Below are 22776 nucleotides of genomic sequence, written 5' to 3'. Positions count from 1 at the left end.
GATGATAATATTCTGTATTTTGCTAAAAAGGGGCTAGCACTTAACCTTGAATGTGACTTTTTTTTGTTTTTGTTTTTTTTTTAGGACGGAGTTTCGCTCTTGTTGCCCAGGCTGGAGTGCAGTGGCGTGATCCTGGCTCACCGCATTCTCTGCCTCCCACATTTAAGCAATTATCCTGCCTCAGCCTCCAAAGTAGCTGGGATTACAGGCATGTGCCACCACGCCCGGCTAATTTTGTATTTTTAGTAGAGATGGGGTTTCTCTGTGTTGGTCAGGCTGGTCTCAAACTCCCAGCCTCAGGTGATCTGCCCACCTGGGCCTCCCAAAGTGCTGGGATTACAGGGGTGAGCCACTGTGCCCAGCCGAATGTGTGACTTTTTTGAAAAGGAAAAATTATTATAAAATCCTAATGTTGATTAAATAATTCTTATTTTTAATCTCATATAATTATTTATAAAATAAACTAAATGGAAACATCTTATAAAACTAAAACGAATTTCCAAAGTAAATACTGGCTCCAAAATCAACACAATTCAAAAATTTAAAATAATATTTTAAAAACGTTTAGATTGCTATTGTTATGTTTAATGATTGAGAACTATTTTTGTTTATTTTATATTTCCTTTGTCTGTTTTTTGATTCTTTTGATATTAAGCATGATTACCATTATTTTTTCTTTTTAACAATTTTCCCACAAATTTAAGTGCTTTAAACATTTTAAATTATTGGCCGGGCGTGCTGGCTCACGCCTGTAATCCCAGCATTTTGGGAGGCTGAGGCAGCCGGATCACGAGGTCAAGAGATCGAGACCATCCTGGCCAACATGGTGAAACTCCGTCTCTACTAAAAATACAAAAAAATTAACTGGACATGGTGGCGCGTGCCTGTAATCCCAGCTACTCGGGAGGCTGAGGCAGGAGAATCGCTTGCACCCTGGAGGCGGAGGTTGCAGTGAGCCGAGATTGCACCACTGCACTCCAGCCTGGGCGACGGAGCAAGACTCCGTCTCTCTCTCTATATATATATTTTAAATTATTATAGGTACCTAATAGTTGTATGTGTTTATGTAGTACATGTAATGTTTTGACGAAGGCATAACAGTGTGTAATGATCAAATCAGGGTAATTAGGTTTTCTTTGTGTTAGGAACATTTCAATTCCACTCTTTTAGTTATTTAAAAATATACAATAAATTATTGGTAACTGTAGTCACCCTGTTGTAATACTGAATACTAGATTTTATTCATTCTATCTAATTATTTTTGTACCCATTAGCCATCCCCACTTTATCCCCACCTCCCTGCTGCCCTTCTGAGCCTCTGGTAACCATCATCCTATTCTCTGTCTCCCTGAGTTCAATTTTAAAAAATTTTTAGCTCCCACATATGAATGAGAACATGTGAAATTTGTCTTCCTGTGCCTGGCTTATTTCACTTATCATAATGTCCTCTGATGCCATCCATGTTTTTGCAAATGACAAGATTTCATTCTTTTTATGGCTGAATAGTATTCCATTTTGTGTATATACTACATTTTCTTTATCCATTCATCCGTTGATGGACACTTAGGTTGATTCTATATTTTGGCAATTGTGAATAGTGCTGTGATAAACGTGGGGATGCAGATATCCCTTTGATATATTATACTGATTTCTTTTCTTTTGGATATATATCCAGCAGTGTCATTGCTAGATCTTACCGTAGTCTGTTAACAGTGAATTTGTTTTTAACAATCCATTATTTTGCAGGGCAGCCACTTTAAAAGTACTCCCCGATATATAATACCAAAGTATGAAGAAAACCCATTCAATGAAAACTTTTTGTTATGTATTAATAATTACTTTTTGTTGATGAACCATATTAACATGGGATCTGTGCAGTATGTGTGTTCCTGCTTTGTGTAAGGTCGTTTCCTATGTCGTGCTTTTCAAGTTTGGCACACCAGTGCTGCCATGAACCGGAAGATAAATCTCCCACGTTTCTTTTTACCTGTTTCAAACTTTGTTTGTACAGCATTCTATAATGTCATGTGGCCTTCAGATGTCATCTCTGTGATCCAAAAATGCAAATGCACCTGGGCACTGAAATTTTGGGACCTGTCTTTGGTTGATGTTCCGGACTTCGCTGGATCAAATTATCACCATAATTTATTGATCAGCAATGCATAACCACAGTGACCTTTTTTTTCAGTCAATTTCATACCTCCTGAAATCCATCCGCAGATTAGAATAGAACTAAAACCTGGTAAGTTTGAGAATCTTCCAGAATGACACATGGCCATCGATTCACACTGAAGTGAGTGGATGTAAGCGCAACTGTGTACTCAAGGCCTTTCTTTTGCTTAGGAAGCTGTGTATGGCGCGGGAAGGCTTAGGCCTGGGGTTGCCCTGGGTGCAAACCTCACCCTGTCTTTATTTGCTGTGGTCCCTTGGGGAGGCTATCTGAGTGTTCTTTGTTTTCTCATTTGTAAAATGGAAATAATACCTATCCTTAAGTTTGTTTGAGGATTGGTAACAATGTCACTGGTAGAGGGTCCTGACTGCAAGTTGTCCAGGTTCTGGGCATTTTGAACAAAGGATTGGACAAAACGCCCAGCAAAGCAAAGAAAGAATGAAGCAACAAAAGAACGAAAGTAGGGATTTACTGAAAACGAAAGTACACTCCACAGTGTGGGAGTGGGCCAAGCAGCGGCTCAAGGGCCCGGATACAGAATCTTCTTGGGTTCAAATACCCCCTAGAAGTTTCCTGTTGGCCACTTCATGCTCATCTCATGTCAGTTAAGTGGTAGCCTGCAATCGGTCTGATTGTTTGCAGGAAGGAGCCAACCAGAGGCCCAAGTGAAGTTACAAAGGTAACACTCCTGTGCAAACATCTGATTGGTTGCTTTTTGCAAAGTTATACTTCTGTGCAAACGAAGACTCAGCCCACAATCAGTCTGATTTGTTGCGGACAGCCAGTTTCCCACCTGCCATGCAGAAAAGGTCAAAGCGAGTAGCCTCTGGTTCTTTTGTTACTTAGGTGTCGAAAGTTAGGATTTTCCTTTCAATTTAGTTCTAGGAAGTCGGTGTGAAACAGCCTTAGGTTCCCTGCCTCCAGACCCTATTCTCCTGCCTCAATAATGTATGTAAAATCGGCCAGGCGAGGTGGCTCACGCCTGTAATCCTAGCACTTTGGGAGGCCGAGGCAGGTGGATTGCCCGAGCTTAGGAGTTCGAGACCAGCCTTCGCAACACGGTGAAACCCGGTCTCTACTAAAATACAAAAAAAGAAGCCGAGCATGGCAGCGTGTGCTTGTAATCCCAGCTACTTTGGAGGCTGAGGCAGGAGAATCACTTGAACTGGGGAGGCGGAGGTTGTAGTGAACTGAGATTGTGCCATTGCACTCTAGCCTGGACAGCAGAGCGAGACTCCCGTCTCAAAAATAAAACTAAAGTAAATAAATAAAATCTTTGAACCATAAACTTAATAATTAGTAGTTATAAACCTAATAATTGGTAGCTGTTATTATTCTTTGAATAATCTCATAAACCACTTGTTCAATAGGATGCATAAAAAAAATATATGTTTCTGCACAATCCAGTTCTTGTCTGCTTTGTGGAAGAAAGAGGCTGGGGTGGATTAGATTATCAGAATTATTTGGCAAGATTTTTCATACTGCATGTGTCCCACCTTCTTGCCACTTACAGGTGACCCACAATTACCACTGGGAATGTGGCATAACTGCTGTGCTGAGGCAGAAAAATGAGTACTGTTGACTAAAAACAGTTGAGTCTTTCTTGGGCAGCTCTGATTTAAGTACTTGTACAATATTTTAAAATCCTAATCTTATAATTGCGTATGAAGATGAATTTATGTAAATAAATCAGCAAATTGGCCGGGCTTGGTGGCTCACGCCTGTAATCCCAGCACTTTGGGAGGCCGAGGCAGGCAGATCACCTAAGGTCGGGAGTTCGAGACAAGCCTGACCAACATGGAGAAACACCGTTTCTACTAAAAATACAAAATTAGCTGGGCGTGGTGGCTCATGCCTGTAATTCCAGCTACTCAGGAGGCTGAGGCAGGAGAATCGCTTGAACCTGGGAGGCAGAAGTTGTGGTGAGCCGAGATCACGCCATTGCACTCCAGCCTGGGCAACAAGAGCGAAACTCTGTCTCAAAAAAAATAAATCAGCAAATTGATATTGCCTAATATTGACAGGGAACAACTCACATGCAAGCTGGATTAACCTCACGTGTATGTGTAGGTTAAATTAGCATTGTGGCAGACTGTTTAAAAAGTGTATTGACTTTCCTTACATATTTACCAAATTTAAGACTTAAAAAGTGTTGGCAAGAGGCGGGATAGATTGACCTGATGGTTTTAAGAAGATTTATTAAACTATTTGTGGTTTGACCCAGTTAGTTTGTCCACTACTGTTAAAATCTACTTAAAATTTATCCTAAGAAGTTATCCTATTTAGTACTAGCATTATGTGGTAGAATTTTGTTTTAACATAGTTTGCTATTACGTGATTTTGACTATACAGAAGTTCATATGTTGTAGGAAGCCCAACTATGTTCAGTAAAAACCTGACAGTTTAGCCAGTAATGCCCATCTGTGTCATAAGTGTGTGAAGAGAGTCTGTTGTGTTTGTTTTGGCTACAGATCCTTAGAGCATCCTAAATGTAGAGATTTCCATTTACCCACAGTTGGTCATATGCCTTTTAGAGCTTTTAAGATCATAATGTTTTTGCAGCCCACCAAGTCATTTCTATTTGTGAACAAAATAATAGTGCCTTTGGTGTTGTTTGTGGTCTTTTTCCCTTAGGTTTAAAGGGACCCTTTTGTTAAACTATTTTAATTTTTGCCCTTTTTTTTTTTTTTTTTTAGACAGTCTCACTCTGTCGCCCGGGCTGGAGTGCAGTGGCACGATCTCGGCACACTGCAACCTCCTCTGCCTCCCAGGTTCAAGTGATTCTCCTGCCTCAGCCTCCTGAGTAGCTGGGATTACAGGCGTGCACCACCACGCCTGGCTAATTTTTGTATTTTTAGTGGAGACGGGTTTTCACCATGTTGGTCAGGCTGGTCTGGAACTCCTGACCTTGTGATCCGCCCGCCTCGGCCTCCTAAAGTGCTGGGATTACAGGCGTGAGCCACTGTGCCCAGCCTGCCCATGTTTTTACTGTAGCGCTGCACCATGCTCTTGGTTAGTCGCCTTGACTTTAGTACCTTTTTTTTTTTTTTTTTTTTTTTTTTTTTTTTGAGACGGAGTCTTTCTCTGTTGCCCGAGCTGGAGTGCAGTGGCACCATCTCGGCTCACTGCCAGCTCCGCCTCCCGGGTTCACGCCATTCTCCTGCCTCAGCCTCCCAAGTAGCTGGGACTACAGGCGCCGGCCACCAGGCCCGGATAATTTTTTGTATTTTTAGTAGAGACGGGGTTTCACCGTGTTAGCCAGGATGGTCTCGATCTCCTGACCTTGTGATCCGCCCACCTCGGCCTCCCAAAGTGCTGGGATTATAGGCGTGAGCCACCGCGCCCGGCCTTTAGTACCTATTTTTAATTATATATCCTATAATCACTTTTTAAAAATTGTTGTAGTAAAACATAAGTCATTGTGGTTGTTAAGTAACTTCATAATTCCCAGAAAACATTGCTGAGTTTCTCACAGTGTAAGTTCTTTCATTTATCACAATTTACTAAGCACTCATTTTGTGCAAGGTATTTCCCAGGTGGTGTCTGTACAGTGATGAGCAAAATAGACAAGGTCCCGTTTCTTATGGAACTGACAAACTAGTGGTTAATCTAGTTCCTCTAGAAATTTTTTAAAAAGTTATTTTTTAGAGCAATTTTAGATTCACGGCAAAACTGAGTGGAAGGTACAGGGATATCCCATATACCCCCCGGCCCTCTGTTCCCAAAGACCTTTTTTGCATTTATGTGACCTGTGAGTAAGCTAGTCTAGCTCTTTTACTTATTTATTTATTTATTTGAGTATAGTGAGTCAGGTAGGATCATCTGCTCTGTCCGTTCATGACCCTTCCTTGGCTATGATTTTTACACAGGGGAAATCAGATTAAAATGAAAGTGAAGGCCATAAGTGCGGAAGGAAAACAGTTTTAAAACATGATGTTGGAGAGCAGTGTGCTGAGAGCGAGCAAGGGGGCAATGGGGGGTTTCGAGTGGAATGTAGGGCTGCTTGTGATAAGGGTCCTGCCTCTGAGACATCAGCTTCCCAGCAAGGTCTAAGAGTTCGGCTTATTTTGGAGGGGAAGCTTAAGAAGACAGGGATGGGACTCTGAGACACATTGGGTCTTTTTGAGTGGCAGAAACCTGTCACTGCTGAGAAGAGTGATAATGCTGCTTTAGGGAGACCATTGGCTGACACTGAGGATGAAGAGCTGAGGAATACCTGCGTTTACAGATGACTCAGCCTGTTTCATAGCCAAATGTGTGGTGTTGAGCAGTTGTAGTATAATCCTACTGATTTAAGACAGTGAAAATGTTAAGTCTCTAGATTAGTTGTTTTTTGACACTGATCTTTGAACCAGCATGATCTTTAATGAAGGTTTTATATTCGTCTGGAGTGAAATGAGAAGCAGCTAACCAAAAAACTTAAGCTGCATTTATACTGAAATTACTTCTTGCTTACTACTTTGTTTTCTAATGAAATACCAATAGTAGATGGCAGTGACTAATTTTTAAAAAATGTTTTTAGGGCAGATTTTGGAAAGCTTACATAGGATATATAGCTGTTTTGTTTGTAAATTTTCTGTTTATTAAAATCCCAAAGTTTGGGAACCATTGCTATAGTTTCCATTGAGTAAAATGACCTATGTACAATTATCTGTCTTGGAAAATGGTTTCTGTGCTGTTTCTCATGCTAGATGCTTCTTCACCTGTAAGATTTATGCCCAAGTTTTTGTGATGCCTCAGTATCAAGTAGGGTTCTCTCTCTCCAGCCATAGACTTAAGTTGGCTTTTTATTCTTCTCCAACAGAAATGGAAATAGCTCTCTTCGTTTTAGGGGCACATTCATTGTTCCATGTACTGAGGTTAGGAGGCGAGTACCTAAAAGCCTCTGTCTATATAAAAGCTGCTTTGTTGATGTTTTATTAGTACTACTGTTGGCTCTTTTAATTAGTAATATGTTTTATTTGCACCCCGAGGCTGTTCAAGCAAAGAAGGTAATTTAAATCAACAAAATTATTTCTTATGTTTTGGAATACCTACACTTGCCATCTGATCCTTTACTCTTGAGGTACTTACTTATGTTGGCAGGGAAGCTAGGAAGAGAGAAAGATGTTTATGTGGAGTTATGAAACATCTTAAAACGTAAGTTCTTGGAACACTTTGCAACTAAATAGTTTTCAAATTGGAAATGCTCTTTGTTCATAACCAGAGATTCTTTTTTTTTTTTTATTTTGAGACGGAGTTTCGCTCCTGTTGCCCAGGCTGGAGTGCAGTGGGACAGTCTCCGCTCACTGCAACCTCTGCCTCCTGGGTTCAAGCGATTCTCCTGCCTCAGCGTCCCGAGTAGCTGGGATTACAGGTGCCCGCCACCATGCCCAGCTAATTTTTGTATTTTTAGTAGAGACACGTTTTCACCATGTTGGCCAGGCTGGTCTCGAACTCCTGACCTCAGGTGATCCTCCTGCCTCGGCCCCCCTAAGTGCTGGGATTGCAGGCGTGAGCCACCATGTCAAGCCTGAGATTCTTTTTTTAAGATAAATACTGAGTCTTCATGAGAAGACCTATCTCTTCTACTGTATACATATTTCTGACAGTCTTTCCAGAATTCTACAGATACCTCAATGATTGTTTGACAGTGGCTGTGACGTTCACAAAGTAAAGTTGGCTAGGGAAATTTCTGCAAATTCTTTACCTGAATGTAAAGTGAAAGGCCCGCCTCTCCAGGTTCTTAGAATGAAACTGAACTTCACGTCTCCTACTGTTTTTTTTCTTTTTAACTTAGCTTTTTGATTTTTTTGACTGAACATGAACAGTCTTTTTGCTTGCAAACTGAAGTGATGAACTTAAATGTTTAGAGCTGAAATTTTGTCGACTTTGGATATCTTTGCTGTTTTTTCCCCCTTTCCTCTTAGTGCAGTCATTTTTGGAGCCTGCCATAGATGAGGCAAAACTATAGTGTAAGATAAACTTTTAAGTGTTTGTGTGTTTTTTCATTTACACATAGCAGTTGTAAATATTTGTCATAGAATTCCAAAGCTGGAAAAAAACTGTGGAGTTTTTTTTCCTTTTGCAGACAGAACCTAAGCCATACTAAGTAAGTGTTCTGCCTATCATACTCTGGGAAAAGGAGATAAATCCATTTAGACTACCAACTGATAATTTTGTTTTAAATATATTGTTTTAGAAAATTAGGGATCCTGTCATGTTTTGAAACTTTTTTATACCAAAAAAGTTTTAAATTCAATTGCTTATGAATTGCTATACAAGAGTTGAAGATGTCAGAGATTGAGTGTTTTAAGAAATGAGGTCAAGGTCTCTGTTATTTTATTCTGCTTTATCCCCCACCCATATTTGTTCCCTAACTACTTTGAATATAGGTACTCAATATATTTTTGCTCTATAAATGAATGAAAAACTGCTCTTTGCAGTTTTAGGTTGTAGATTCCAACCCCACTCATAGTCTGTCCTTAGAAAATGGGTTGAATGGGCTGGGTGCAGTGGGTCACGCCTGTAATCCTAGCACTTTGGGAGGCTAAGGTGGGCAGAGCCCTTGAGATCAGAAGTTCAAGACCAGCCTGGCCAACGTGGTGAAACCCATCTCTACTAAAAATACAAAAATTAGCCGAGCATGGTGGTGCACACCTGTGGTCCAGCTACTCGGGAGGCTGAGGTGGGAGGATCGCCTGAACCCAGGGAGGTCAAGGCTGCAGTGAGCCATAATTGTGTCACTGCACTCCAGCCTGGGCAACAGAGAGAGACTCCATCTTCCAAAAAAAAAAAGAAAGAAAATGGGTTGAATGAAGAGATTTTAGAAAATTAAGGATCCATCCCCCAGCATTCTTATAATCCTCAGACTCAAATTAGTTATATGATGTTATATAAAGAATAAAGTTGTAGGCTGGGTATGGTGGCTCACATGCCTGTAATCCCAGCACTTTGGGCGGCTGAGGCAGGCAGATCGATTGAGGCCAGGAGTTTGAGACCAGCTTGGGCAACATGTGAGACCCTGTCTCTACAAAAAGTGGAAGAATCAGCTGGGCGTGATGGCTTGCGCCTGTGGTGCCAGCCACTTGGGAGGTTAAGGTGAGAGGATCACTTAAGCCCAGGAGGCAGAGGTTGCAGTGAGCCATGATTGCACCACTGCACTCCAGTCCGGGCAGCAGAGCGAGACCCTGTCTCAAAAAAACAACATGAGTAAAGTTGTACGTTTTAAGAAAACTCACTAAAAACAAAAGAAACCCTCATGTTGTGCACAGAAGTCCACAATGACAAGTCCTTCAAAGAAGAGTGAGGCCTACAAGGGTATATACAGGTAGAAATGTATTCTATAAACATAGGGTCTGTTATTGTTTGACTATGAAATATGAGTATAGTATAATACAAAAGCCTTAAGAACTATGCCAAGACTTATACATGAGAATTGTTTCTTTAAAGAAGCCAGTTACCTTGGGAAACTGCATATTTAATCTCTTGTTACTCTTGTTGTGCCAAGAAATTTGGAGTCCTTTTAAAATTACCTTTATTGCTTGTGGTACATTAAAGAAAGTGTTTGATGTTCTTGATTTTTTGGAAATTGATTTTTTGGAAATAGTCATTAATGAATAAATTGGGTCATAATGTTGGAGTTAAGACTATATGTGTTTAAAAATCAGATGTAATCATAATGAGAATATTCATGCCTGCTTTATACATTGATACCAAAAATAATTAATAAGGGATTATGTTTTGCACAGAGAAGCATCATTGGAATAAGTTTTATCTGGGTTCCAGGTTGGGTCTATCTGCGGCTGTGTTTTTTTAGTAGTATGTATACATATGTGTGTATTTATATGTGTGTGTATGTACCTTTTCTGTATCAGTGTCTGTGAATTATTTCTTTGACCATCCTGCCAGTGTTGTGTTACAATCTGGCCACTGCCGCTTCGTGCATGTGTGGCCTAGCAGAGTTGTTCCAACAAACTTTGCTTTATTTTTGATAGTCAGGCCGGACCTGATGCCAAAGGCCACTTCTCGGGCTTTTCTGCTTGGACTAAAACTTCATGCTATGTTGTGTTATGTTTACAAAGATATTGTGATCCTAATTGATTTGTTTTTCTATTTTCTAGTTTCATCAGGGCATTGTATCCTGATGGTTACTTTGGTTTTAACTGCCTGGCACTGATTTTGAGTTTTCAAGGGTGCAGGTTTTCCTGACATAGGCCAATTTGTGTTTTTACTTAATTTTAGACTTGTCAGTCAATTGGTGCCAATTATGTACTAACTGCATAGTAATCTGTGATTGACTTGTATGTCAGCTTATGAATGTGCTTGAAGAACCCCTTTATCAATGCACAGCCTCTCTTCCATGGTAGGATGACAGCTTTGATGAAGCTGTGTCTGACCTAATTCCCATTACCAGTTTGAACAAAGCAGGGGCTGATAAGAAATCTAGATTTCTTCCATTATTTTATGTGGCCAAGTTTAAAGATGGAATAAGGTACTTGGAAACTAGTATTAATATGTTCTAGGTCTCTAGGAAACTCGTAACTTGACGGTAAGATAATGTAAAAGTCATTGTGGCAGAGACCCAGTGTTCAGCCAGCGTTGATTCAAGTTTATTTGCAGCAAAGATCCTTTTCCAAGATTTGTTTTTTTCTTATCTGCCTTTTCAATGCTTGACTGTGTATATTTGAATAATGTACTTCATGGAAATGAGTTTCTCCTTGAGGATTTTTTCCTTGTTATTAAAATGGAATCTAAGCCAAACCCCATGAGGGTGAGTCTTTTGTAACTGCCAGGGAAACTCTTATACTTAGGTTAGTCCAGTGCATAAGTCAGTAGGGTCTAAGCAAAGCGCTGGACCTGTTAACAACTACGTTAATTATATTACCTAACACCTATATGGGGCACTTTTTCAAATGTTTCCATATTCCTCCTGCTCATCCTCCAGCAGAAGTTAGTCAAATGTGTGTCTACATCTTTGCAATAGCTAGTTCTTAGCAAACTTAGCTTTTAGCATTTGTTTTGTGGTTACCATAACGGTTATTTTTTCCCATAAAGCCAATTCCAGTGACAAACTTGAAAAGCTACCAAGTGCTGGATTTGTGGAAGTGTTGACTCCATGGGACTTGCAAAATAATCCCCTTGAAATTTTCTATATTTTGTCTTTTTAATAATCTCTCTCACGCTGCTTTTTAGAATTTCACCATTTGTATGCAGCTATGCTTTTAAATATTTATAATGCTCCTGTACAACCCACTGTGGATGCCAGGATTATCTTCACAATTCTTGGCTTCCTGTGCTCTAGTGGCAGGAAGAAATAGTCTCTTAGAAAGAGAGTGGAACAGGAACACTTGACTTTTTTTTTTAAACACACAAATATTGTGAATAGAACCTAACTGAGCTTTTGCCCCCTCTCCTTTGGTGTAATTAGGACCACATTGATTCCTGTTGCAGCTGGCAGCCCCTCACTGTTGCCTTTTTCTGCGTGTGACCCTTGATCTCAGTGACCTTTCCTGGGGTTCGTCCTGGGCCCTTTTCATTGTGTTGGAGCTGAAGAGGCTCATGTGGAGTTGATTATTTCTTTGCTCATTTGGCCTTTTTGGTGCCATAACTCCAAGTCACTTCCATTTTCTTCCTCTACTTTTGGCAGTCCACGGTGAAAGGAAATGCTTTCGCAGGCAGCAGGATCGTTTGTATGCTTGGCTGACTCGACTGAGACTTGGGAGAAGTGGGGGAAGGGTTGCGAAGTCTGTAGGTGTGAACTTTTTTTTTTTTAAGTTGATCTGAATGATTGCACGATCATTAATAAGTGCTTATAAAGTAAGTACTGTGGAAAGCTGCATTTCACACCCAGGGGCTTCATCCTGGCAGGAAGAGAGCACTCCCAGTGATTGGCAGGGGGCCTTGGTGTCTGAGATCCTGCAACTTTACTTTGATGAGATTTATATGTTCCTCCTATGGACTGGGAGTGATGCGGCAGGTCAGAAGATACATCATTGTTAATTGCACATGACTGCTTTAAGAAATTCTTAAGTTTCTAAAAGAACCCCCATACGCCCCAGAGAGTAGCATGCTATTAGATAGTATGTTTGTTGCGACTAGACTTGTAGCACTCTGTTTGCCTCTCCTTTCCTCCTGTAGAATCATGGAAGATGTATGCCAGCTGTTACTCTCATTTTGGGAGAACCCCTGTGGACAGCATGAAGACCGTCCCTAATCAAAGCCTTTAGTAAGCATGAAGGAATGTGTCTGATTACCCTACACTGTAGTACCTTGGAAAGGTATAACAGTGTGAAATGTGAAATTAAATCACATTAAGAAACTCATTTTTAAAGTCTGACTGTTTGACTCCATCCCTGGAATATCATTTCTGTCTTTTCCTTTTTTTTGCTTTAAAACTTTTTCATTAGTAGTATTGATAGTGTGGTTTATTTTGAATGAGGAGTTTCTGTCCCTTCAAGCATGATAGTTTTGGGATTCAGCCTGAGCCATAGTTCCGTGTGTCTGCTGTTGCCCACCAGAGTGTCATCTGCGACCCAAATCTCTTAAGAGCTTCAGGCTTCTTTCTGCTTGCCTGCCCAACCTTCCTTAGAACCCCACTTACCTCCAGCTCCTCTTGTTATCTCCACACCTTCAGACGCTCTCCATTCCCTCTACCACCTCAAACAGCAGCAGCAGACCACAGAAGACCCTGCTGCTCCCATCTCAGTAAATGCACATCATCCACTCACTCACTTGTCTGAGTCAGAAGTCTGGACAGCAGCCTCGATTCCTTATTTACAGTCACAGCAGTGGGGAAATAGAGCAGTGGACAGATGAATGGATTCCAAAGATGTCCTAGGTCCTAGTGGTCTATTCTTTTCCAGTCCAACTCATTCATTATCAAAGTCCTGTTGATCACAGGGCCTCACTCTGTCACCCAGGCTAGGAGTACAGTGGTGCGATCATAGCTCACTGCAGCCTCAACCTCCTGGGCTCCAGGGATCCTCCCACCTCATCCTCCCAAGTAGCTGGGACTACAGGTGTGCACCACCACACCTGGATAATTTTTGTATTTTTGGTAGAGATGGGATCTCCCTATGTTGCCCAGGCTGGTCTTGGAATTTCTGTGCTCAAGTGATCCACCCACCTTGGCCTCCCAAAGTGCTGGGATTATAGGTGTATGCCACCGCTCCTGGCCTCTTACGTCTTTTAAATATGACCGTGTCTTAAAAATTTTTGAAAAACCTTTCAAATTTATCCCGTGATATTTCTCCAGTACAGGTCCCCGTATCTCTCACCATAGCCTTCTAACTTCTCTTATCCTCAACTGTTTTCCACATTGCAGTGTCAGCGATTTTTCAAAGGTACGGGACTGATCATGTCCTTGCCTGCTTAAAAGCCTTTGACACCCTCCTCTCAGAATAAAAGCCAAACACTTTAATATGATTTATATTGTTCTTTACACTCTTGTTTCTGCTCATTTATGTTGCTTTCCCCTCACTGTGTCTTATCCTTCTCTTCTTACTGTATTTTCCAGCCCAGACATCCTTACTCTGATTCTACAAACACACTGTTCCTTCTGCTTGAGATACTTCCTTCCTTCTCTTCCTCCCTTCCTCTACTCCATCCCCCAAACGTATCCCTCTGATTTCACCTAGTCAGTTGTTTCCTCTGAGAAGTCTTCACCTCTCCAAGTACAAATCTAGGTTAAGTGAGCCTTCTCTTTTTCCTGGAGCACCTGTATTTGCTTTATTCTGTTGCTTACCTGTCCCTTTCTCATGTAACTGCTTTAATCTCTGAAAACCTTTATTTCCTAAAAATTCTGCCTTTTAGTGTAAAGCATGTCTATTGCTTTTCATGGAAAGAGTCATGATATGTTCTGTCCCAATCCAAGATAGCCAGATTTCACAGATAGAAAAACATGTCAATGGAGCAGTGAAAGCACATTTGTAGAGATGGTAAAAGATACTTTAAAAGTAAATAAATCCAGTTTGTTCTTAAATAAAATGCACTGAGTTTATTATGCTTGTCAAAGGAGGAAGAGAAGCCTTGAGGCTGGTGAAAGAGGAATGGTGAGCAATTCCTTCACGGGTGGTGTAGAGTCAGGAAATGGATTTTTGGACACTGGAAGTCATCTTAAGGCTCGTAGTTACCTCGCATTCAAACTGCACTTAGAAAATAAAAGCACTTAAAATCACCTTATGGCAAAACAAAAGCTCAACACAAGAGTGTTTCACAACTCGCGGAAATGGTGCACACACACTGCAGACAGAAGATTAGTAGAATCTCACTAATTAGTGGAATCTCACAGAAGATCAGGAGAATGCCCACTGTCCTCCCCCTCAGTTGGCATCTGAACACAAAGCACAATGTTTGAGGTCATCCAAACACAGCAAGCAATTCACTTTTTTCTACGTGACGTGGTGTAAAGTCTAAAAACTGTGGTATTATATAAATTGGTGTGTGCAGCTTTGCCTGAAGCTATAATATCACTTTTTAGAGTGTTTTCTTTAGTTTCTGATTGGAAAAGTTGTACTGAATAAAACGAAGCTGTATTTTAAAAAAAGTGAAATAACTTTCTAAGAGCCATTATTGCAAAAAGTTGCTATCTGAGCCATTCCCATGTTAGACGAGTCTGTATTTTAATTGCTTCCTTACTTGTCACATGTCCTCACCTGGTTGTAAGCCTCATGTGGGCAGACACTGTGTCTCTTTTATTCATGGTTGAGTTTCCAGGATAGCTCAGTGCCTGGTATATAGTAAGCATGCACCAAGTATTTACTGAATAAAAGATGAATTCCTCTGCTTTGAACTCTTTCAATACTTTTTACTCTCTTATTGCATTTAAGACTTTTTTCTTTATTCTGGAGATAATTATGTTCGTGCCCTTCTTAGTTGAGCAGTTTCCTTTAGTTTGGTATATCTTTGCACCCCTCATAGGTTCTTGCCCAAAGTAGATGTTCTATGTATTAAATGGTTTGATTGAATGAATACTTACTTGAAAAGCAGAGTTATTTGAGAAGTTTGTGTAGGAAATGATGTTAACTTCTTAGTTAAATTAAATATTCAGAATGAAGAAAACTGACAGGAGATTTAAAGTTGCCTGTGGTTAAGGTCAAGGTAGCCCAATGGGTTAAAAAACAGTATATACTATATTTGACTTCCATAATTGAAATTGGACTGCACTAATCTTGATAGTACTTAATGAAGAATTTTTAAGTAGACATGTTTTAGTTTTTCTTTGTAGTTCTGAAAATAATTTTTTCTTAGCTGATCAATAGCATATTTTGAGATAGATTGTTTGAAAATCGAGATGAATCATTGTTTTAAAAAAGGAAATTACCATGTTTCATACAGAATAAGATTCTTTTTAAAAAACGGAATCTAACTTAAATAATTTCCTATTTTGAAGAACTATAACTGATCTCAAAGCCAAGTTTTTGTTCACAAATTAATCACAGTTATTTCCTAAGCTTGAAAGAAAACTACAAGAAAGTTTGAAATAGGAGGCTAGGAAGAGGAATGATTCAGAAAGACAGCCTTCATCATCCTTATGAAAGCAAAGGCGTTGCTTCAAAAACAAAGTAATCAAATCTAGAAATTCAGGAAAGACTTTTCCCAAAGGATTATTCTGGCAGCATGTTGAAAAGGGGTTATAAAAGCAATAAGTTCACAACCTGAACAATAAGTTAAGTAAACGTTAGGAAAGTATTTCCTTTCTTATTCTAAGATGAGGTATACCTTTAGCTTCCCTCTGCCCACAGAAATGCTCTAAGCTTGGCATGGCATATAAAGTAGAGCTTATAGGACAGATTGCCTTCTATGTGGATGTGGGAGAAAGGCTTAAAGAAAGCCTTATAACTTAGGAAACACCAGCTGTTGTTTAGTGACATTTGGACTTTGGGAGCAGTACTTGTGCCACATGAGACTGGGGAGCCTCCAGAGATTTTTACAGCATTGAGCAATAAGTTGTCCTGCTTTGTAGATGGTTTAATGGTTTTACTACACTTAGCTGCATTTTGTGTGTTTGTGTGTGTGCATGTTCTACAATCTTTTTCCGGAGAGACTGTACTACCAGGCGCTTTCCTGAGAGCAAAGGGACCACTAAGCATCTTCTCAGACAAATCACCCACTCAGAATGTCGGTGAAAAGAATGGAATTGTGTTGGCCACTAGCTTTATATGAAGATGGGAAGGAGATGGAAGAACTTTCTCGTGGTCATGCTAATTCCATTTGAGACCACTGGGTTCGATGAGCCCGTCACTTCTGTTTTTCACATAAGGAATCAAATTCAAATTCTAACCTCTTCACTGATTTTATTACCTCTAGTAGATTAGGGAAATAGAGATACATATATATATATATATGTTACATGGACAAGAAAAGCAGTAAGAAAGGGAGAATACGGTTTTGAAATGAATGGCAATTTACTGTTTTGAATGTCAGCAAATATTCCCTTAGAGTGTCAGCAATTTTTGCATACAAATTTATTTTGAGAAACATGTGTAATGAGTTAAAACCACACGGTGTAATGACAGTAACTCCTTATTCTACTATATAATAGATTATGGGTAAAAAGCGAGATTTTGTGTCCACGTTGTTTTTTGTCATTGGAAGTTCAAGGATTGACAAGGTTTGATGAATATGGCCTGCAATGCCCATGCCTTACATTCTTTTTCCAGTTACTTTTATGTAACTTTAGAATATTGTTTAAAAAAATCCCTAATAGAGAGTGAAAGTTGCTTTATGCCTTAGCAAGTATTTTAGTTCATTACTCAAAGTCAAGATTCGTATCCACACTTTGCTTACCACAGTGTGAGGATCTAAACCATATGTCAGTGATGGGGAGTTACCTTCATGTGCCAATTTTGGTTGTGAGGGATGGGGTTGGCTATTGGGGGCCTCTTTTTGGAACACGACTTGACAATATGTATTAAGAGTCTTGAAAATGTTTGCACTCCCTGATCCAATAATTCTATTCCTAAAAATGTCCTAAGGGCATAATTAGAAGAGTGGTTTAAGATTTATGGACAAAATATTCATAGAGTGTTATCTAGAATAGCAAAAAAGTAACATATATATATATATACACACACACACATACATATACACATATATAAAAATGTAGCCTAACTATCCAAAAGAGAATGGTTAAGTAGACTAAAATACAAGACATAATAAATAAATAAATAAATAAATAAATAAATAAATAAATTCTCCGCAGCTGTTAAAAGTTTTATTTATGAAGAATTTTAATAAGGGCCAGGAGCAGTGGCTCATGCCTGTAATCCTAGCACTTTGGGAGGCTGAGGCAGGTGGATTGCTTGAGGCCAGGAGTTCGAGACCAACCTGGCCAACATGGCAAAACCCGATCTCTACTAAAAATACAAAAATTAACCAGGCATGTTGGCACGTGCCTGTAATCCCAGCTACTTGGGAGGCTGAGGCAGAGAGTCGCTTGAACCTGGGAGGCGGAGGCTGCAGTGAGCCAAGATCATGCCACTGCACTCCAGCCTGGGTGACAGCAAGATTCCATCTCAAAAAAAAAAGAATTTTAATAAGGAAAAATGATCACTAAATAATAAATTAAAGCATTTAAAACCCTAACATGTATTATCACAATTATGTAAATACCGTACACCACATATATGAAAAAGATGAGAAGGAAGTGCATCAGAATGTTGACATGCTATCTATAGGTGGCGAGATTGTCGTGTTTACTTTCCTTTTTATACGTTTATGTATTTTCTGCACATTCTGTATTGAATGTGTACTTTTTTCGGATGAGTATTCATAGAAATTTAGCAATTCTTGTAAAACCGACATATAAAATATGCGAAGAAAACTTGAATATTTTGTTTAAAATATCACCAGGCATTATGTTGACAACATAGAGTGCTTTAAAAAAATTCAAAATAAAAGTAACCCTAAAGTAAAAAAAAAAAAAAAAAAAGGCAGAGTGATTTAAGTCAGAATTCTATTCTATCTGACATGATTTAAATCAGAATTCTGTTTTAAATTTTTACATGAGGAGATTTGAATGTTATGTTCACTAGAACAGAGGTTAAGCACGTTTGGCAAGTAATGTGCCCATGTTATGTGTGGTGTAGAGTAGGATGGTTGTCCTTATCATGGATTGTTTTCTCTGCTGGTCATTATTTCCAGATTGAAAGAAAAGATAAGGAGGATGGGATAACAACTATGTAGAGGAAATTAGGGTTATTGTCTCCCTTGCCAAGGTCAATTTCTGTAGGTGAGAAAAATGACTTATACATTAAGGCCGCTGACTTGTGAATAAGAAGATGGCAGAAACCTGTTTAGTTATGGTAAACTTTGTCAAACAAAATTGTGTTTATTTGCCAGAGCAATGTAGGGGAACTTAAGTACACACACATGCATTTGCATGTATATATACACACACATATGAATAAATTATATATTTGGTTTTCTAATAACTTACTAGTTAAATAACCATAACACTAATATTAAGGGTTTCTTTTTTGATAAAGATAGTACTTTTGAAAATGATGTACCATTGAAAGATTTTCCAGTAGTACTAATGGATATACTGTGATTTCTGCGTATCTAAACTTTGTGTGGTCAGTAATGTTTATTTGTGAGGTTGGGCCTGGGGTGCTGTTACTGGCTGTTGACTCTAATGTCGAGCTACCCAACTCCATAAAACAGCAGAATCCAACTCCTTGTTGTCATTATCACAGCTCTTTAACAAACTGAGCAGGCTTGCCTTGGGTACATGTAAACCAAGCCAACACGTGTTTAGTAAATGCCTTTTCTGGCCATAGGTTCTTTCCAACTTCCAAAATCAACTGAGAGCACGTAGAGAGTAACCCAATAGAAAGATAGACTTAATAAAGAAGATTCCTGTGTGATAATATTTAGGTAGCTGTAATGAGCTGTGAAACTTTCAAGGACAACTATAAAGTCACTGAGTAGGTCATGCACTAGGGTTAAAGTTGACTCTGAAATTTGTTTCACTGCTTTTTAATAAATAAATAGCTGAAAGATTTGGCAAAAGGAAGAAACAATCCTTCTTGTCCTCATTCTCTCAGGAAAATGTCTCCTGTTAACAAGTTATTTGAATGTTTACTTTGCCTTGACTGCTTTCCAGTGGTGTGTCAGTTCTTACCCTTGAACCAAGTGAGAATTCAAATAAACCAAAAAAGTTTTCACACAGCTGGACTCTTCTGCCGCTGAGTCATTGCCAGTAGTCCCTCTCCCACTTTTTAAAGGAGGTCAGCAAGAAAAAACTGGAAAAGCAGATTCATAACCTGATATCCACGAGCTAGAGAAACTTGAGTTTGCACCTTTTAGATTTTAGAGTACTTGGCATAGAGAAGGTGAGCAGATTCTGGGAGATACTATTTGATTTATTAAAAGCTGTACTTAAGGTGCCTTCCTCTGTATTACTACCTAATTTTATTAATGGTTAGCATTAACCTTTCTTTGCATGAATGAAAATGCACATAAAATTCTCATTTCTAAAATGTCATTAATGTAGCACAGTCATTAGATTTTGTTGTATTCTATAGTCGTAGGTCCAGTGTCTAGCCCTGGCTAAGCAGGAACATGGGGCAGGATTCGCAGACATAGTAGCCTAGTCTAGCATAGTGCCTGGCATATAGTAGGCACTTACTGTATTTTTTGTTGATTTTTAAAATTATACATATGAATGAATAAGTGAGTGAAGGAATAAACAATATAGCTAGAATATACTAAATTCAGATGAGATGGCAGTTCTCACTAAACACTAGTCCTTAAGGTACTTCTGGGAATTGCATTCTATTGTATTCCTTTCATTTTAAGAAACATTTTTGAAAAAGCTACTTTCTGCTAGGCACTAAAATTTTGTAAAGCTAAATATGATGTCATTGTTGCCTTCAAAGAGGTCACAGTTGTGTCACCAGATAAGTTACATAAGAGAGTATTGGGTGCTGTGGTTACGCATGTCCCAGGTGTAGAGGTAGCATAGAAGAGAAAGAATTGGCCATATCTGGAGAATGGCATGGACATTGTTAGTTTTACTAGTTTTATTTATCTTTTATATTGTCTATCTCTCCTACTTGAATATATGGTATACATTTTTTGTCTGTTACTTATTTTTATATATACATTTTTAATTGCTCAATTCCCACCTCCTAGGATAGTCTTAGCATATGATAAGCATTCAATAAGTATTTGTTGCATAAATGATTTTTGATAGAAATAGCAGACTGCCTCCAAAAAGTATGTACTGATTTTGTTTCCACCAGCAATATATATGATAATGATTTTTGCTCACATTCTTGCCAGTGCTGGGTTTTGTGAAACTTTTTTAGTTTTACCAAATGTGCTATACTGTCTCTATAGTAAAATACACACACACACACACACCCCCCACAAACAAACCATCTCTTGACTACCATTTGTCTTCAGCAATTCTCCCTGTTTTTCTGCTGCCTTTGTATAGCAGAACCCTGGAAGGAAGTGTCTGTGTCTGCTTTCTGTTTCCTGTCTTCCCATTCTACCCTGAACTACCATCACGCTTTTGTCTTTTCTCCACTGAAACCAGTCTTGTCAATACCACCAATGACCTTCAGTAGTCCTTTCTGATGGTGTCTCATCTTACTCTGCTTCTCATCGATGTTTGAGACCATTGATCACACTCTTCTTCTAGAAATATTTCTTTTTCTTATTTTTTAAATTTATTTTTATTTTTTTGATATGGAGTCTGGCTCTGTTGCCCAGCCTGGAATGCAGTGGCACAATCTTGGCTCACTGCAACCTCCACCTTCCAGGTTCAAGCGATTGTCCTGCCTCAGCCTCCCGAGTAGCTGGGATTACAGGTGCATGCCACCAGGCTCGGCTAATTTTTGTAATTTTAGTGGAAACGGGGTTTCACCATGTTGGCCAGGCTGGTTTCAAACTCCTGACCTCAAGTGATCCGCCTTCCTCAGCTTCCCAAAGTGCTGGGATTACAAATGTGAGCCACCGTGCCCAGCCTAGAAATATTTCTTATATTCTCCCTGAACAAATAGATTTCTTTCTGTTTCATTCACTACCTCTGCTGAGTGTCCTTGGCTACTTCCCATCTCTAAAGGTTGGAGTATTCCAAGGCTCTTCTGTTTTATCTCTTCTCCTCTCCTCAGTCCTCTAAACATATTTTCCTTAGAGCTCAACTAGTGCCAAGGCGTTCATACGTTTAAGATCTACATTTCCAGCTCTGACTTCTTCCTACAGCTCCACACTCACACATGCAACTGTTGACTTGACAGTAGTAGTTGGATGTCTAATAGATAGCTCAGACTTACCTTGGCCAAAACAGAACCAGTGATGAACCCTCTCTTCTGTCTCTCCTCTAGTCTTCCCCATTTCAGTAAACAGGGCTATTATTTATTTTGTGTCACCAAAACCCAAGTGTATCCTTCACACATCTGTGTCCCACACTCTATATCCAAGCCTTTGACATGTCCTGTTGGGTCGACCGTTATAATATATTCTGAATCCAACTACTTTTCTCCACCTCCACGGTTGACTCAGTGTTGTAACCACTGTGTCCTCATCTGTCTCCGGGGTGATTACAGTATGTCCTGCTTAGTCTCCCTTTTCCACTTCAGCCAGTGATCTTTTTAAAGCATAAATAACATTACATCATTCCCCTTCTCTGTGTCCTCTAAGGGTTTGCTCTTGCATTTAGAATAAATCCCACGATCTTTACCATGGCCTTCAAAGCTGAATGTGATCTGGTCCAGCCTGCCTCTCTGGCTTCATCCATTACTATCCTTTTCTTGGCTTATCCCACTGTCACAATAGTGCCAAGCCCAATCCCAACACAGGCCTGACCTTGATATTCTCTGTGCTTGACCAATCCATGAGCCAGGAGTCCTCCATCTGAAAAAAGGGACAAAAACCAGTAGTACCTGTCTCACAGGGTTGTTGTGAAGATTAAATTCGTGTATTAAAGCACTGAAATGGTGTCTGGCACATAGTAAGCACTCCGTAAATGTTAGCCATTATTTTGTTGTTTTCCTTACAGTTACTATTTTAGGGGATGTGAAAGAGGAATACATGTTGGTTGCATTGAGTTTTGTATGTTTGTGAGATGTGTAAGTAGAAATGCATTATAGGCAGTTGAATGTATTCATTCAGAGTGATTAGTTCTGTGTAGTAGGAGATATCCTAGGACCTTGGAAGAATGAGCAAAACTTCTAGCTCTAGTGTCTAGAGATCAGTCTGTGAATTGGGAAGATCTGGATAATTAAGTGCCTGGTATTTGACGTACTCTACACAGAGCTTTCAAAATAGATGGCAGCCGTCATGCTCACAGCTCCAGCTGCTCAGACGAAAGATTTCAATGGTTTAGATTTTCTTTCCTTTTTCTTTTTTAGTGAACCAAGGACTGGGTTTTGCTCTGGAAGCCTGTCCTGATTGCTTCTGTAATCTGGCGCTATGCATCCGGATCTTGGACCCTTATGTACACTGCTGTATGTTACTCTTACAATTCTGTGCTCTTCTGTGAGTTCAGGTAAGAGTAGAATTGGGGAGGGGGTGGTTTGGCCTTTACTCATCTTAATCCTATAAAACATAAATTTGTACTTCAATGCTTTGTGATAATGGTGCTATCTAAAGATGTTTCTAAGATTGGTTTG

The 22776-nt window shown here is 39.5% G+C and overlaps 1 protein-coding gene across 14 annotated transcripts in view; it reads left to right on the top strand.

Annotated features, from left to right (window-relative positions):
- CDON (cell adhesion associated, oncogene regulated) overlaps positions 1 to 22776 on the top strand; it is a 106515-nt gene that overhangs the window by 17283 nt on the left and 66456 nt on the right. For all 14 annotated transcript variants that reach the window (XM_017017873.2, NM_001441166.1, NM_016952.6 and 11 more), the window contains exon 2: positions 22516 to 22652. In XM_017017873.2, the coding sequence (XP_016873362.1) occupies positions 22577 to 22652 (76 nt within the window). In that variant the 5' untranslated portion in view covers positions 22516 to 22576. The remainder of the gene's footprint in view (positions 1 to 22515; positions 22653 to 22776) is intronic.

This window comes from Homo sapiens, chromosome 11 (assembly GCF_000001405.40).
Source record: "Homo sapiens chromosome 11, GRCh38.p14 Primary Assembly".
NCBI lineage: Eukaryota > Metazoa > Chordata > Mammalia > Primates > Hominidae > Homo > Homo sapiens.
The sequence above is the reverse complement of the archived record's forward strand: the minus strand, read 5'-3'. Positions and strand labels throughout refer to the sequence as shown.